This window comes from Homo sapiens, chromosome 10 (genome assembly GCF_000001405.40).
Source record: "Homo sapiens chromosome 10, GRCh38.p14 Primary Assembly".
In the NCBI taxonomy this organism is placed as follows: Eukaryota; Metazoa; Chordata; class Mammalia; order Primates; family Hominidae; genus Homo; species Homo sapiens.
The window spans coordinates 19,484,490-19,502,199 of NC_000010.11; the positions used below are offsets into that span (position 1 = coordinate 19,484,490).

A 17,710-nucleotide genomic window follows, 5' to 3' on the forward strand; every position below is an offset into this window, starting at 1 on the left:
TATTTGCAGAAAATTGATTTATGGGGTTTTCTTGTTATTTTTATAATTCATAACAAAATAGCAACAGTTTTTTAAAAGATTAATTTTATATTACAAATTGGACTACAGAAAAATTAATGAAACCATATAATATGCTTCCCACTCACTGGAAACATTTGAAAATACTTTTTAAAAGCATAATAATATATGTTGGCACAGATATTGTTAAAAGGGAACATTTATACACCACTGATGGAAATGTAAACTAATACAACCTCTATGGAAAACAATGTGGAGATTTCTTAAAGTACTAAAGGTAGATGTACCATTTGATCCAGCAATCCCATTACTGGGTATCTACCCAAAGGAAAAGTAGGCATTATTTACAAAAGGTACCTCCATGTGTATGTTTATCAACAGCACAATTCACAATTGCAAAGATATGGAATCAACCTAAGAGCTCAGCAACCCATGAGTGGATAAGGAAAATGTGGTATATATACACCATGAAATACTACTCAGCCATACAAAATAATGAAATAAGGTCTTTTGCAGCAACTTGGATGGAACTGAAAGCCACTGTCCTAAGTGAAGTAACTCAGGAATGGAAAACCAAATACTGCATGTTCTCACTTAAAAGTTGGAGCTAAGCTATGGATATATGGAGTGGCATACAGAGTGGCATAAAGAACATTGGAAACTCAGAAAGAGGGAGGCTGAGAGAGTAGTTCGAGGGATGAAAAACTATCTGATGAGTGTAATGTATGTACTCTATTTGTATTATAGTTGCAGTAAAAGCCTAGACTTTATCGCTGTACAATTCATCATATAACCAAAACCATTTCCACCCCTAAACTTATGAAAATTAAAAATATTTTTAAAATAATAAAGAAGGCCGGGCACGGTGGCTCACGCCTGTAATCCCAGCACTTTGGGAGGCCAAGGCAGGCAGATCACAAGGTCAGGAGATCGAGACCATTCTGGCTAATAGGGTGAAACCCCGTCTCTACTAAAAATACAAAAAATTAGCCGGGCGTGGTGGCGGGCACCTGTAGTCCCAGCTACTGGGGAGGCTGAGGCAGGAGAATGGCATGAACCAAGGAGGCGGACCTTGCAGTGAGCCCAGATCGCGCCACTGCACTCCAGCCTGGGCGACAGAGCAAGACTCCGTCTCAATTAAAAAAAAAAAAATAGTAATAATAATAAAATAGATCAGTGTAGCTTTTTAAAAAAGCAATTAATTTTATTGATAGATATCAAAAGCCCTAAAAGAGACAAATCCATCGATACATTTTTATACCCAATAATGGCATGTTAGGAGTCTGTCTTACATAACTACTTCCAATTATGAAGAAGCTAAACATAGTTTTGTTTAAATGTAAAATACTGAAACAACTCTATGATGAATAATAATGGAATTATTAACTAAATTAGGGGTATATTCAGTTTTCATTATATTTTATAGATATTAGTGATTACTGTGAAAATCAGACAAAATATTTATGATATGATAAATATAAAGGTAGAGAAAATATTGTGTATATGTTATGATTACAAGTATTTAACCTAGTTACAAAAAAATTTAAAAAGAAAAATGCGACAAAATGTTAAAGACATTGTGTAAAGAAGGAGAGATTGTTTTTTTCTACATTATTATGTATTTAAACTCTTACTATAATAAAATATGTTTTAAAAGCTCAGAGGTTTCCATTTACTTATCACATTAAATCAAATGTCAATCTGCATTTTCAGAACCAAAAGACGTAGTTTCTCCAATACTTCACAGACCAACATACCTTTGTAAGTCTGATCAGTTTTTTTTAACTCCTGCTCACTCATGAACATCTTTGAGTCTTTGATAGTTAAAATTCTTTGTTGTGGTCTAAGCTCCTTTCATGCCTTCAATGCATCTAGATGTTTACTTGCTTAGGACTTTTCTTAGATATGTTTCCTGACTCACTGTATTCCATGGGAAAGTTCTCTTGTACTTGGAATTTCACTAGGTCTTCCATACATATATAGCAGCCTTAGAAACCCTAATTGTTTCTTTTCAGTTGATTCCAAAGCTGAATATGTGGTTTTGTCAACTAAATACCATGGTCTTCAAAAGCAGGGATTACGCCCGTTTTAATATTCTTCATGTGGTTACATGAAAAACAAAGGTACTTAGAAATGCATGTCCATATGAAACTTGCCGTCTGGAATCTCAGAGCATATTGAATGTCATCAGCTTAAGAAAGTAATAAAACAACAAGTGTTTCTTCATAAATATTATCTATATAATGATTATATCTGGTTCAGTGTAATGAACTCTGTGTACAAAACGATTTTAATCCAAATTGAAATTTATAGGATCGAGGATTTGTAAGCTCTGTTTCAAAGTAAAATGAAACTAGTTTTCAATTGATGTCACTTTCATGTTGGTGAGAGTTTGTTTAAATCTACAGTAGATTAGTCCTATATAAACCTTATGTTCTTACTGGATTAAATTTTCTTTTCTTATGGCTGCATTATTTTCCACGGCCTTCATAGGATCTTTCAGTTTCTCATGCTTTAGTTAGGTCTTTACATCTCTGTTTGTCAGTCTTTTACTAGCAAAATAAATATTCTAGTTTTTTCATATGCCATAATCTGCTGGCCAGGTTATTTTCAACTTTTATTGTGAGCACCAATGTTCCATCCATTCTTTTATCATCAAATATAGAATATGTGAGATATCTTTCATTTCATGTATTTGACAACCAGGTGAATAGTTTTTGCCTTTATCATTACCATTTTGGCTGAATAAAAAATATAAAATGGCTAAACACATGCAAAACAGTCTTTCATTAAAAAAATCTATCTTTTCAATTTGCTGTATTCTTAAAAAATATACGTGAGGCTGTTTTTTATTTGTTTATTTTTCTTTGGACACCTAATATTTCATAGATATTCTAGTCATTGTTCAGTTTACTGCAGTTCAGAGCATCACTTTATTTCTCTTCATGGCTTTGCTATTCTATATTTTGAAAGAAAATAACCCTTATTTAGAGATGTAGCCTATTTTAACTTTTTTTTTTTTTTTTTTATAAAAGCCAAAGAACCAACTATTTAGAGTGACATCAAAGCACATTTCCCCTGTGGAGTAATTATATGGCTTTACATCCTATGGCATGGAAAAATAAAATAATCTCAAATGCATAGACTTGCATATGGAAAAAATGTCCACATACTGCCCTAGGGTTAACTGTAAATTCTCGCTAGTGTTAATTAAAATTTTGTGGCAAAGTTCCTAAACTACTTGGTAAATATGACCTTTAAGTCTTTGTCTTGTTAATGCCCATAATTGGACCATTTGCTGTTGTCTTAGATGTTCTTTCTTCAGTCTTCATATTTGTATATACCAAATTTTACTGGTAAATTATTTTTGGATATCATACAGGTTTTAGCTATTGTATTATGGGCATAATCCAAAGACTCTGGATATGCACTTTTAGTCAAGTCTGTAGAGTTGTGTTCTTTTTATTTGTGGAAGTACTGCCTAATTGTCAGTAAATTACCTCCACCTCGGGTACATCACCTCTGAACCTATAATCACCTATGTAACAAAGGAACTGCTGAATTTTATTTAATTTGTTGAAGTTGATAAAAAAAATTGTAAACCTTTAATATAAGTCACTATGAATCTGTGAAGTATTGTCATTTGACTACATATCTGATGAAATAATATTTAAATATAAGAATTGCTCTAAAAATTCTATGTCAATTCACTTTTCTAAGCCCCCTTTAGATGAAAACATTGTTTCTGAAATTATGATAACCAAGGTTTATAAAGAGCCAACTATATATCAGGTTCTATGTGAGGCCCAAGAGAACACGATAAGAACTTCTGGTTCTAAGGAGCTTGGAGTCTGGGGGGACAGCCAGCCATGTATAAATAGCTCTTATATGTGATGATACTCATTGTAGTATAGGAATAAAAGGGTACTTAGGTGGCATGAAACAGAAGTGTCTCACCTGGGGCAAAGATGGCAGTGAGAAAGGCAAGACAAAAGTAGAGAGAGAGAAGTCATTTCATTGAATCATAAGTTTGGGCAGCGGGCACCTGGGGCTCTGGAGGGAATAGTCAGGGCAGACAGGAAGTAGCATCTGTGAATGCATGAAAAAACGAAGAGCAAGGGACAGATTTGTGAAACCTTCAGTCATAGGATATAGAACAATTGCAGGTACTTGAGAGTCACAGAAAATGAGACTGGAAAACTAAGCTGGAACCAAGGACAAAGGATTTTTAATGTCTTTATTAGGGGGTTTGGATTTATGTACTAGGTAATGATCAGCCTCGGTCCCCACCTGTACAACGATGGAAAGGTGTGTGGCCATGCAAAGAAGTCAAATGTCATGAATGACCTTCCTGCAGAGTTAGGATTTTTGTTAAGAATACTTTGCATTTTCTAAGAAGTAGTTTGGGTTATTACATGGGTTATTAAGATCCCGTGTACTGAAAAAATTTAGCGGGGGCGGAGGAGAAGGCGGGCTCCCAATCCGGTTCTATCCGGTTCTCCCACCATCCCCCGCCAGGGGTCTCAGCAGCTCGGAGGGTGGAGGGGCGGCAGCGCCAGGCACCGCGCACGCGCCTTTCCGGAGCCAGAATGCCCAAGAGGAAGGTCAGCTCTGCTGAAGGGGCCGCCACAGGAAAAGCCTAACAGGAGGTCAGCGCTGTTGTCAGGTAAACCTGCTCCTGCAAAAGTGCAGGCGAAGCCGAAAAAGGCAGCAGCGAAGGATACATCTTAAGACAAAAAAGCACAAACAAAAGGGAAAAGGAGAGCAAAGGGAAAACAGGCCTAAGTGGCTAACCACGAAAGTAAAGAAGAGTTAACTGCAGAAAACGGGGAAAGGAAAACTGAGGAGAGTCCAGCCTCTGATGAAGCAGGAGAGAAAGTAGCCAAGTCTGATTAATACTATGTACCATGTCTTATCAGTGGTCCCTGTCTCCCTTCTTGTACAATCCAGGGGAATATTTTTATCAACCATTTTGTAAATGCAAGTTGTTTAGTAGCAGCTCCAGAAACATTTTTAAGAAGGAGGGAATCCCATCTCATCCTATTTTTTAAGTGTAAATGCTTTTTTTTAAGAGGTGAAATCATTCGCTGGTTGTTTATTTTTTGGTACAACCAGAGAATAGTGTGGGATATTGAATTATGGGATGCTTTCACTGTCTTGGTTGTCAGCTTAACATTGCATCGGTGGGGGTTAGTTTTTATATCCTATAATACAAAGCATATTCAATGGCAATATGGAGTCACAATCTTGCATCTAACGTCTTTAGCATTTTAAATTACTTCTATTCCCATGTTGTTTTGTAGTAGAATTGTTTCCTAAAGAAAACTACTCCTTGATCGTGGCTCTGCTGTCAGAATTGTGGGCACTGTGTAGCCTCTTTGGTTGTGATAGTCCTATTTTCCTAATAACTTTGTTACTGTGCTGTGAAAGGTCAAAAATTTGCATATGTAGCATACATGCTATTCAGTTGTGAATTGGTGGGATGTAGGTAACAGCTTATCAACATGTGAAGATACTGGTACTTGATAGCCTCTTAAGGAAAATTTGCTTCCAAATTTTAAGCTGGAAAGTCACTGGAATCACTTTAAAAAAGAATTACAATATATAGGTTTTTAGATTTTTGGTACATGTCTTAGGAATTGTGTACATATTGAAATGTCTGTACTGATCCTCAACCAATACAATGTCAGTTATGAAAGAAAAAATATCTTTTTATCTTTTTTTCCTTTGTCCATTTAAAATGTTTGATTTTTCTATCTAAATTAGGTTGTGATGTGCCACTGAAATAGGCAATGTTGGCAACACAATGTCTGTTACAATAAAATACATTAGACATTTAAATAATCTTAAAAACCATGTGAAGGGACATAAACCCGGTCGATTAAATCTGGAACAATGTTTTCTGCACAAGCGAGTACAGGCATACCTCTCGTTAAAACTGATGTAAACAGTCATACCTCTGTTTAAAACTGATGTAAACAGAAGAAGCCAAGTGGGGCGGGGGGGGGGCAGGGTTATGGGGGTGAGGGTAGAGTGGGGGTACGGTGAAGGGAGGCTGAGGTGGGTGGGGGAAATGGCAAACCAAAACAACACTAACTGAGGTAGCAGGACTCTGCTCAGTGCAGAAAAATTGGCTTATGAATAAAAATTAGACTGTGATATCAAATTAAATTCAGATCATCACGCAAAAGACACAATACATGCTATTTAGTTTTAGAAAAAAACACACATTCATTTCCTGAAGTCTGCTGCCAATTAATTTTCTGACAATGTCTGCTGGCTTGACTATTTTTTTATACGAGGATGAGTATTAAACACTGTCCATACTTTTTCATCTACAAAAAATTTGCATAAAATAGTGTTAGTTCTCTGTACTTGTCAATGGACACTTTAATTATGTGTATAAAAAAGGAAAATTTTGCCCCATGGGAGTCAGGAAAAGCAAAATAAAATTTAGAGTATGAAACCTCCACCAGCCAGTATGTTTATGTGAAAATTCAGCAGAAATAGACAGTTGCTTTAACCAATAAAGTTAACATCTTCTTTATGTAAAATTTTCAGTCAAGACAGGAACATATCATTAAAATTAGTGTCTTTGCTATAGACTCAGATCACCAGGAGCATTACGAGCAGCACAAATGGCCAGGAAATCTCATCAGTGCATGCTGACAATGAGCAGGATTTGGTGGCAGGCTGCACATACCCTTTACCAGGTTCCAGGTAGTTGTGGGCCACAAATTTGAGTGTCTCATCCATGAGAATCACAGGCAAGGAGATTTTCAGCACCATCAAAGTGCATAAAAGATATTTCAGAAGTAGAGTCTATATAACTTGCTGAACCATTGAAGGTGGGACTGAGAAAGAGGAAGTTGGGGAAGTCCATCTTAGGCAACTGTTGAAATCCTTAACTTGCTTACTAGTGTGAAATCTATAAAATACCTAACAGGAATCTTCAAGTCTAATGAAAATATTGATGGAATACTGCTTTTGTTTTTTTGTTTTTCCCTAGTGGGAGAGATCTCTGAGCTTTGTCCGGAAATCACTGATTTTTTGTGCCGGGACAAGAAGTGCATTGCATCCCACCTTCTTTGTGACTATAAGCCAGACTGCTCTGATAGGTCTGATGAAGCTCACTGTGGTAAGTTTATCTATCTGCTGTATGGCAGCCAGTTCAGCAGATATTTTCCTTCATAAGTAGAGTTAGATATTGGTGTTGATGATGGAGAAGAAATATTATTTTCATGCACTAGAGTAGATTTAGAATAGCCCAAATATTTCCCCAAATTTGTATACAAGTATCAAATACAAATACAAATGACAGTACTTTCATATTCTTTACCCCATACTGAGAACAGTAACAAGTCTATAGAAAATCATTTTACCAAAAAATAATCCCATTCTGTAATTAGGCACACTGTGTGTAGGGTTAGAATTAAAGTTTCTAGGAACTGCAGTAGCAATCTGCCTTTCTTTATTGGTTGTTTTTTTTTTTCTATTTTTTTTTCCAAAAAATTGTTGATTTTGTATATGCAGCTGAAAATGATCACTTTTAATAAATACCAGTTTAGTAATTAATTTTATCAATTACATTGCACTGGAGAAAGAGGACTGGTTGGGCTCCATTGTATTTTTATTCAAGCTTTAATTCAAGCAATGTTTAAAAACATATATAAAACTAAGTATATAATTTTAAAATATGAGCAGATATTTAAATTCAAAGGATCTTTTTTCCATATATTGTACTGGAAAAAAAGGATATTTTTTCCATTTATCTTATCTTTCCTAGAGAATATTGATACCATACCAGCTACCTGTTGCAGTTACCATTTGCTGCCTAACAAGCTACCCCAGAAGTTAGTGGTCTAGGCCACTGTTACATTTTGCTCACAATTTTTTGGGTCAGTAATTCAGGAAGGGCTCTTCTGGGCAGTTTGTCTCTGATGGCCTGAGTCGAACTGATAGGGTGGAACTAGATAATCACATCCAAGATGACTTCTTCTCTTGATACTCTTTGGTCTCTCTGTCTTACTAGAGATGGTGTCTCATCCTCCAGAGTACTCCATGTGGCTTGGGCTTTACATAACATGGTAGCCACAGGGTGGTAAGCCATTGTACACAGGGCTGGCTTCTACTAGAAAGTGTCCCCCGATCCTCAGGAAAAATAGCAACAGTTACTTTGATTTAGCCTCAGATGTTGCATAATACCATACCTGATTCCTGCTAATGGCCAAGCAAATAACAAAGTCTAGACTAGACTTTCAATGAGAAAACAAAGTCTAGACTAGACTTTCAATGGGAAAATACATCAAATGTAGAGAAGGTTGTAGGGTGACCTTTTTGGAGACAAACTACCACACAAGCATATTTACATTTTTATTGTATAGCTCAATTTAATTTTTTATTTCTTAGGATCTTATACTGATGCTTCCAATGGGCTCATTTTCTATTTAAAATTTTTAATATATTTTTAAACTTTAAAAAGCTGTGGTAAAAAACACATAATAAAAAATTTACCATTTCAACCATTTAAAATGTATAATTTAATGGCATTAAGTACATTTGTATTGTTGTGCAACCACTGCCACCATCCACCTCTAGAACTATTTTCATCCAAGAAAAACAAAACCGTATTAATTAAAGAATAACACTCCATTTACCCCTTCCCCTAGACCATGGTAACCACCCTTCTCCTCTCCATCTCTATAAAAGATCTTTCATTTCTATTCTAGGTACCTCATATCAGTGGAGTCATATAGTATTTTTCTTTTCTGTGACTGGCTTGTGTCACTTACCCTAATGTCTTCAAGGTTCGTTTCATATTTTAATTTTAAATGAAAGTATTTTTAAAAAGTCAAAACAATCAACACATCTTAAGACTTTATTACTAATACCATAGAATTATAGTATTAATTTTATAAAATATCATGTATTTCTTTCATAGTATGTACATTCTCAAATAAAACTTATAGTTCACTGAGTAACACTTTCTAGTGTTATTTCTAGCTTCTTTTAAATTCACCGGCCAGGCGCAGTGGCTCACACCTGTAGTCCCAGCACTTTGGGAGGCCGATGCGGGTGGATCACAAGGTCAGGAGTTCAAGACCAGCCTGGCCAACATGGTGAAACCCCGTCTCTACTAAAAAAAAAAAAAAAAAAATTAGCCGTTCCTGGTGGTGGATGCCTGTAATCCCAGCCACTTGGGAGGCTGAGGCAGAGAATTGCTTGAACCTGGGAGGTGGAGGTTGCAGTGAGCTGAGATTGTACCACTGCACTCCAGCCTGGGCGACAGAGTGAGACTCGTCTCAAAAAACAAAAAAACAAAAAACACGACAAAAGTGTATTTTTAAAAATACTGAGTGTAAGGAATTAATTTCAATGGAAGACTCTAAAACGTGTGAAATCACCATTTTCCCCACAAGATGTACTAAGTAGGGCATTTAATAGTCACCCACGACACAGTAAAAACTTGGACAAATTCAAGCCTGTAAACTGCAGCCAGCACTCAGGTGGAAGAGGAGCCCACACATTCAGGGCATTAAGAGGGAGCACAGCTGCAACTGTGAGGAAATATAGAGGAGCCACATGATTAAGAGCCTACCTGCTGACCACTGCACTTAGCGCCACATGCTGGCTGGATTACACCCCAAATCGTCAACACCAAAGTACTTTGCTAGCATACCCTCCATCAAACCAAAGGCAAGAAGTCAGCTACAAATGAAGACCCTGAGCAAAGCCTCAGCCCTCTGGAAACATGCAGAAAATAATTCTAATGACTGTACTCAATCTACACTGAAGTTAAAGGAACATTTGCACACAGAAATAAGAAAGAACCAGTGAAAGAACTCTGGCAACTCAAATGGCCAGAGTGTCTTCTGTTCTCCAAAGGACTGTGCTAGTTCTCCAGCAAGGGTTCTTAATCAGGTGAGATGGCTGAAATGGCACACATAGAATTCAGAATATGGGTAGGAACAAATACTATTGAGATTCAGGAGGACATTGAAACCCAATCCAAAGAAGCTAAGAATAACAATTATGCAGGAGCTGACGGATGAAATATCCAGTATAAAAAAATAACGTAATTCACCTAATGGAGCTAAAAAACACACTACAAGAATTTTACAATGTAATAGCAAGTATTAGCACCAGAATAGAACAAATTCAGGAAAGAATCAAGAGCTTGAAGACTGGATTACTGAAAAAACATAGACAAAAATAAAGAAAAAAGAATAAAAAGGAATGAAAAAATTCTCTCAGAAATATGGGATTATGTTAAGAGGCCAAATCTATGAATCACTGGTATCCTTGAAAGAGACAGGGAGAAAGCAAGCAACTTGAAAAATTGCTTTCAGGATATTGTTAATAAAAACTTTGCCAACCTCACTAAAGAGGCCAACATTCAAATTCAGGAAATGAAGAGAACCCCTGCAAGATATTACACATGAAGATTATCCACAAGACACATAATCATCACTTTTTTTTTTTTTTGTAAGACAGAGTCTTGCTTTGTCACCCAGGTTGGAGTGAAGTGGCATAATCTCAGCTCACTGCAACCTCCGTCTCCCAGGTTCAAGCAATTCTCCCGCCTCAGCCTCATTAGCAGCTTGGATTACAAGTGTCTACCACCACACCCAGCTAATTTTTCTATTTTTAGTAGAGATGGGGTGTTGCCATGTTGGCCAGGCTGGTTTCAAACTCCTGATCTCAAGTGATCTGCCTGCCTCGGCCTCCCAGAGTGCCGGGATTACAGGTATGAGCCACCACACCTGGCCATAATAATCACATTTCCCAAGGTCAAAATGAAAGAAAAAAGGTTAAAGATAGCTAAAAAGGAAGGACAGGTCACCTACAAAGGGAACCTCATCAGACTAATAGTGAATCTTTCAGCAGTGAATCTTTTACCTTCCAAGCCAGAAAAATTGGGGGCCTATATTCAACATTCTAAAAAAAAAAAAAAAGAAAACCTACAACCAAGAATTTCACATACAGGCAAACTAAACTTCATAAATGAAGGAGAAATAACATCCTTTTCAGACAAGCAAATGCTGAGATAATTCATTATCAGCAAACCTGCCTTAAAAGAGCTTCTGAAGACCATCACCAGCCACTACAAAAACACACCTAAGTACACAGACCAGTGACACTGTAAGCAACCAGACAAACAAATCTGCATGACAACCAGCTAATGACATGATGACAGGATTAAATCCATGCATTGTCATGTTAACCTTGAATGTAAATAGGCAAAATGCCCCAATTAAAAGGCACAGAGTGGCAAGCTATATAAAAAAGCAAGACCAAGTGGTTGGCTGTCTTCAAGAGACCCATCTCACACTCAGTGACACCCGTAGGCTCAAAATAAAGGGAAGGAGAAAAACCTACCAAGCAAATGGAAATCAGTAAAAAGCAGAGATTGCAAACCTCATTTCAGACAAAATAGACTTTAAACCAATAAAGATCAAGAAAGACAATGACTGTAGATATGGTAAAGGATTCAATTCAACAAGAAGACCTAACTATCCTAAATATATAGGCACCCAACACAGGAGTACCCATATTCATAAAGCCAGTTTCTAGAGACCTATGAAGAGACTTAGACTCCCAAACAATAATAGTGGAAGACTTCAACACCCCACTGACAGTATTAGACAGATAATTGAGGCAGAAAATTAACAAAGATATTCAGGACCTGAACTCAACACTTGACCAATGGACCTAATAGACATCTGCAGAACACCCTACCCCCAAACCACAGAATATACATTCTTATTGCCAGATGGCACATACTTTAAAATTGACCACACAGTTGTACATAAAACAATCCTCAGCAAATTCCAAAAAAACAAAATTATACCAACCATCACAGCACAATAAAAATAGAAATCTATACCAAGAAGATCTCTCAAAACAACACATTTACACAGAAATTAAACAGCCTGCTTCTGAATGACTTTTGGGTAAATAATGACACTAAAGTAGAAATCAAGACATTTTTTGAAACTAATGAGAACAGGCATACAACATATCAGAATCTCTGGGACACAGCTAAGACACTGTTAAGAGGGAAATTTATAGCACCAAATGCCCACATCAAAAAGTTGGAAAGATCTCAAGTTAACAACCTCAAATAATCTCAAATTAACCATTGCAGTTATTGATTGGTGGGACATCTGCATAAAAGTGTGAAAGGCCATGGAAAGGGATGACTAAGGCCAATACAGAGTGAGAAATATAAGCAAGCAAATATATGTGAATATTTTTAAATTAATAGGGTCAGCCTGGCTGTGTGGCTGCAAATTAGAAGAAAGGAATTAGAAGAGGATGTGAAATTGAAGGACGTGGAAAAATGTGTAACTTTGCAGAAAATGAAGCTGTGGAAAGTCAATAGCAGTGTTTTCATAAGGAGTTGAGATCATAAACAGAGATTAGCCTTAAGAAAGAGAAAAGTGGCATATTTTGAGATTGAGTGAATGAAATGTAAGAGAATTTATCCTGATTGGATAAATATCTTTAGCATCAAAAATAAAGTCATATATTAAGCAAAGCGGGACAGGAGGTACAAGGATGATCACAGAGAATAGAAAAGGATGCGGAATAAATATTGTAGGGCTGTATATCAGGGAGTCACTTACATAGAAAACTAGTAAAGAATGTGCAGGTGACATCATTCTAAAGAACACATGATGACTGTCTTTTATGTCCATTGCAAGATTCTGAATTTTTACAGATGTGTTGGCTAAACACCAGCAGAACGGAATGTCTCATTTTTTATCCATATCACATAATAAAAACCTATTCTATATTATATAACACTGGCATGACAAACACAAAAAAGGCACACAGAGCCCATAAATAAGCATACAAGAAGCAATAGATTATATATAGTCATATAGAATGAACGAAAGGAATGTACATGAATACAAGTGGTTGTAATTTGTAGGGATAAGATACAATAATGCTTGAGAAGTAAAATGCTAATATTTTATTTAAATAATCTCAGGGATCCAGAAAGTTTTGTGTGGAAATATTAAAGCTTTGCTTGCTATATATTTAGTATCTATTCTTACAGCAAGGCTTTTTTCTGATTACATTTCTATATGCTAACATTGGTTGTATGTTAAGGAAAAGTTGTGAACGAGAAGGAAGTTTAAAAATAACACAAACTTTCTTTCTAAAAAGAAAGGAAAAGTCAATGACAATCTCAATTGATTCATACCAATTAAATCACCCAGTCATTCATTCTGTCTGTACAACGCAGTCTGGTTTTACAGTGAGTGCTTCAAAAGTAATAACTGATGTACAAAAAAAAGAAAAATGAAAGCCTAGATCAGGGTATCATGATGGCACTTTTCACAGGTGACTAGAAATAGATACAGTTATTATCTATTAATTTTTCTCACTGTGAATAATTTAATTTTTAATGAGTTATCAATCAACACTTTTAGAAGAGAATTTCTTTCTTTAATTTAGTGACTAGCTCTGATATTTGATGCTGCAGTGATTGGTATGGTGTCCAAGATAATTTGTGTCCTATACAGTTTACTACTTCTCCCAAAGTGCCTTTTCTTGAGTAAATGACTTTGCGTCGCTAATAGGCTATGCTATTCAAACATCAGAATAAGGGACGGAAGTGAATTAAACATCCAGACAACTGAAGCTGTTTATTTATTTGACCTGAATAATCTTGTATTAGCATAATGTTATGTTTATTGTTCATGTGTAGACACAGTTTTAACTATCATCTATAAATATTATTCGTCAATGCATATAACTCCTTAATGAATAAGTGACAACATTCATACACTGCTTCTAGATCCTTCAATTAAAATATTAACAATGAGTACAAATGTCTTGATGCTGTAAGTGTATTTATAAAGAATTAGAATATGCAGATACTAATTTTAAATGATCCCAAATATAGGGTAGTAGCAAATGTGATAGACATTTCCAGAAATTCCATTAATGTTTTTGCTTCCCCAGCACATTATACAAGCACAACAGGAAGCTGCAATTTTGAAACAAGTTCAGGAAACTGGACCACAGCCTGCAGTCTTACTCAAGACTCTGAGGATGACTTGGACTGGGCCATTGGCAGCAGAATTCCTGCCAAAGCATTAATTCCAGACTCTGATCACACGCCAGGTAAATCTAGTAGCCATCCCCAGACCAAGAAACCCACTCATCTTAAAGTCTGCTTTAACAATTTGTGTGAATTTCAGTGTGCATTTCTTATGTGTATGTGGGGACAGAGCTCAGTAGGTTTTATGGAAAGAGGGCTAGTCTCTTCTATTGCAAACTCTGAATTACTAAATAGACCCAGAGCTGACACTGCTACAACAAAGCAACTCATGACTCATATTTTAAGAGACTCACAGATTTTACTCACTCTACCCTAAGGGTGCCATTAAATTCCCTAATTGGAGGAGGGTAGGTGGGTGGCATTCAGATTAATGATTGCAATATGCAAAGATATACAACTGGCAATGCTAAAAGTTATCCTGTTGTGACAATGGCCAGTCACAACAATGAAATGGCTGACCACCAATTTCCTTCCCATCATTTTGAAGTACAGGAGCCAAAGTGTAAAATGGTAAGTGGTGATGGAATGAGTGAGTATCAGCATAATCTTCACAAGTGTTGCTTTCTGCCCTGTGATTTCAGATTATGCAATCTTTAATGGCTTTACAGTTAATAGACTCAAAGTAGGAGTAAGCTTGTAATCTTATTTACTCTTACAAAAAAGTCCTACTGACTCAGAATTTATCTTAGAAATCTAGCTTTTATTAGGGATAAAAAAATATCTAAGATATTTGTGATGCTAATTTTATGTGTCAAATTGGAGATGTTTTGGATGAGATCAACATTTAAATTGATGAACTTTGAGTAAAGTGGATTGCCCTTCATAATGTGGCCTCCTCCAATCAACTGAAGGCCTGAATAGAAAAAAAAAAAAAAAAACCAGCCTATGCAGCAAGAAGGATCCCCAAGGGAATGTCTTCAGATTTCATCTGCACCATGGGCTTTTATGGTTCTCCAGCCTGACAGTCCACCCTGCAGATATTGGACTTGGCAGCCTTCATAATGTCATGAGCCAATTCCTTATAATAAATCTCCTTCTGTATATACACACATCCTGTTGATTCTGTTTCTCAGGAGAACCCTAACCAATACAATATTCTTCAAAACAGTTGAAGCATATGCACAGTAAAAAAGAACGAGATTACATGGAATTTAAGTAACTTTCAAAAGATTGTCCTAGCCATTATATGACTAGTGAAAAGAGCACATTAATTTTATTATTTATATATTCCAGGCAGATTGAATGTATCATGCTATTCAATTACAGTATGGACATTCATTCTTGTTTTAAAGATTTTTCCCTAATTCCTTCTATATGGTGAATCACATGTACTGATTTGCGTATGTCGAACCAACCTTGCATCTTAGGAATGAACCCTACTGGATTGTGGTGAATTAACTCTTTGATATGATGGTGGATTTGGTTTTCAAGTATTTTGTTGAGGATTTTTGTGTCTGTGTTTATCAGGGATATTGGCCTGTAGTTTACTTTTTTCACTGTGGCTTTGCCAGATTTTAGTATCAGGGTAATGCTGGCTTCATAGAATGAGTTAGGGAAGAGTCCCTCCTCCTTGAATTTTTGGAATTGTCACCAGCTCTTCTTTTTATGTCTGGTAGAATTAACCTTTAAATTGAATATTCTAACTCCTTTTGACTTGCCACGTTGTAGCTCCCTTTCACAAGCTTTTGTTTCCCTTAAAAACATGAAGTTAGTGTATACTATAAGATGAACAGGACAGAGAATCAAGAAACTAAGGTCAGTAATTAGAAGGATTTAGTGTATAACAAAGGTAGATATTTAAAATAGTGGGCAAAAGATGGACTATACAGTATGGTGCTGGCATATCTGGTTATCCACCTGGAAGGACTTAAAATTAAATCCAAGTTTTATATCATATACAGCAATACAATCTAGATAAAGACTTAAATGTAACAAATAAAAATAAGAAAATCTTTGCAAGAAAACAGAGAGTAAACTGTGTGTAATTTAGAGCAGAATATTTTAAAACCTCCTAAACCCAATTTACAAAGCATTTTGGCCTCTTTGACATAGAAGTCAACTTTTAAAACCTGAAGTCAGCTTCTAAACCCAATTTAGAAAGCATTTTGGCCTCTTGGACATAGAAGGGCCAACACATAATGACTTATATGAGGATATTTATGTCAGCATTGCTTTTAGCAGAAATAATGGGAAATAAATGAATGCCTATTATGTGATCATTTATATGTTCCTTCCTTCATTCACTTAACTATTTCTCAAATGCCAGGCACTTGGCCAGGTCCTGTGGATGCATCAGTGAATGAAACAGGCATAAATCCCTGTCACGGTGGAGCTTACATTACAGAAGGAGGGAAAAGATAATGGGTAAACATAATAAATAAATAAATTAGATGGCTTATTAGAAGTTAAGGGGACAAAAAGAAAGGAATGGAGTACATAGGAGTGTGACAGCCAGTAGATAGGTATGTGCCTTGGAGTTGGGAGGATGGCCTGTAAATAGGCTGGTCAAATTAGACCCTGCACAGAAATGCCATTCAACAAGAGACCTGAAGGAGCTGTGAGGAAGTGACCTGTGGTTACCTAAGGAAAGAATGTTCCAGAGCTAGATCAGCCTGTTTTTGGAAGGTGTCTCAACCTGGTTGCTAATGACATTTGGGTCAGTCTAATTAATTAGGGGTTTGACCTGTGCATTTGTAAGATGTTTAGCAGCACTTGAGGCCTCTGCCAACTAGATGTCGGAAGCACTCCTCTTTCTAATTATAATAAAGCCAAAATATCTTTAGAAATTGCCCCTGTTGAGAACCCAGAGAAACAGCCTGGAAGCCAAGGTAACTTGTAAAATCCACAATGTGCAATATTATGCAGTCACTAAAAAGAGTTTAGTCATGTATAGTTGATTTGAAAGGATTTCCAAATGACAGTGTTGAAGGAGTAAAGCAATATGCAAAATGTTAAGATAGTGTGATCTAGTTTTTCTAAAGCAGACAACAACTAGTACCCCCTTATTGTGCATATGTATAAATCTGTACATAGATATTTCTATGAATGACTGTGAGCATGGAGGATAGGATAAAAGGATACATACTTGTTTATTAACATAGATTACCTGAATGGGTGACAGGGTTAAAGTAGAGGAGGAAATAAACTCAGTAGAAAAAGAAACAAGGCTGGGCAGGGTGGCTCATGCCTGTAATCCCAGCCCTTTGGGAGGCTGAGGCAGGAGGATTGCTTGAACCCAGCAGTTCGAGACCAGCCTGGGCAACATAGTGAAACCCCATCTCTACAAAAAATAAAAAATTAGCCAGGTGTGGTAGAGTGCCTGTTGTCCCCACTACTCGGGAGGCTGAGGCAGGAGAATGGCTTGAGCCCATGAGATTGAGGCTGCAGTGTCGTGTTTACTCCATTGCACTCCAGCAAGATTCTGTCTCAAAAAAAAAAAAAGAAAAGAAAAGAAAAGAAAAGAAAAGAAGAAGCAAGTAACAGGAACTGTACCTGAAAAGAAAATCCAGTATACATGGTGGTAGCACATTTGTGTGTTTGTGAAAAGCGTGGTGAATATATTAAGGTTTGCCACTTGAAAGGTCTGAACTGTTCTTGTCCTTTTAATATTTACTT

General features: G+C 36.4%; 1 protein-coding gene and 1 pseudogene across 10 annotated transcripts in view; both read left to right on the plus strand.

Moving 5' to 3' along the window:
* Positions 1 to 17,710, plus strand: part of MALRD1 (MAM and LDL receptor class A domain containing 1) — a 687,552-nt gene that overhangs the window by 437,563 nt on the left and 232,279 nt on the right. For all 10 annotated transcript variants that reach the window (XM_011519453.3, XM_011519455.3, XM_011519454.2 and 7 more), the window contains 2 exons: positions 7,028 to 7,156; positions 13,996 to 14,157. In XM_011519453.3, the coding sequence (XP_011517755.1) occupies positions 7,028 to 7,156; positions 13,996 to 14,157 (291 nt within the window). The remainder of the gene's footprint in view (positions 1 to 7,027; positions 7,157 to 13,995; positions 14,158 to 17,710) is intronic.
* HMGN1P20 (high mobility group nucleosome binding domain 1 pseudogene 20) lies at positions 4,509 to 5,208 on the plus strand (annotated as a pseudogene).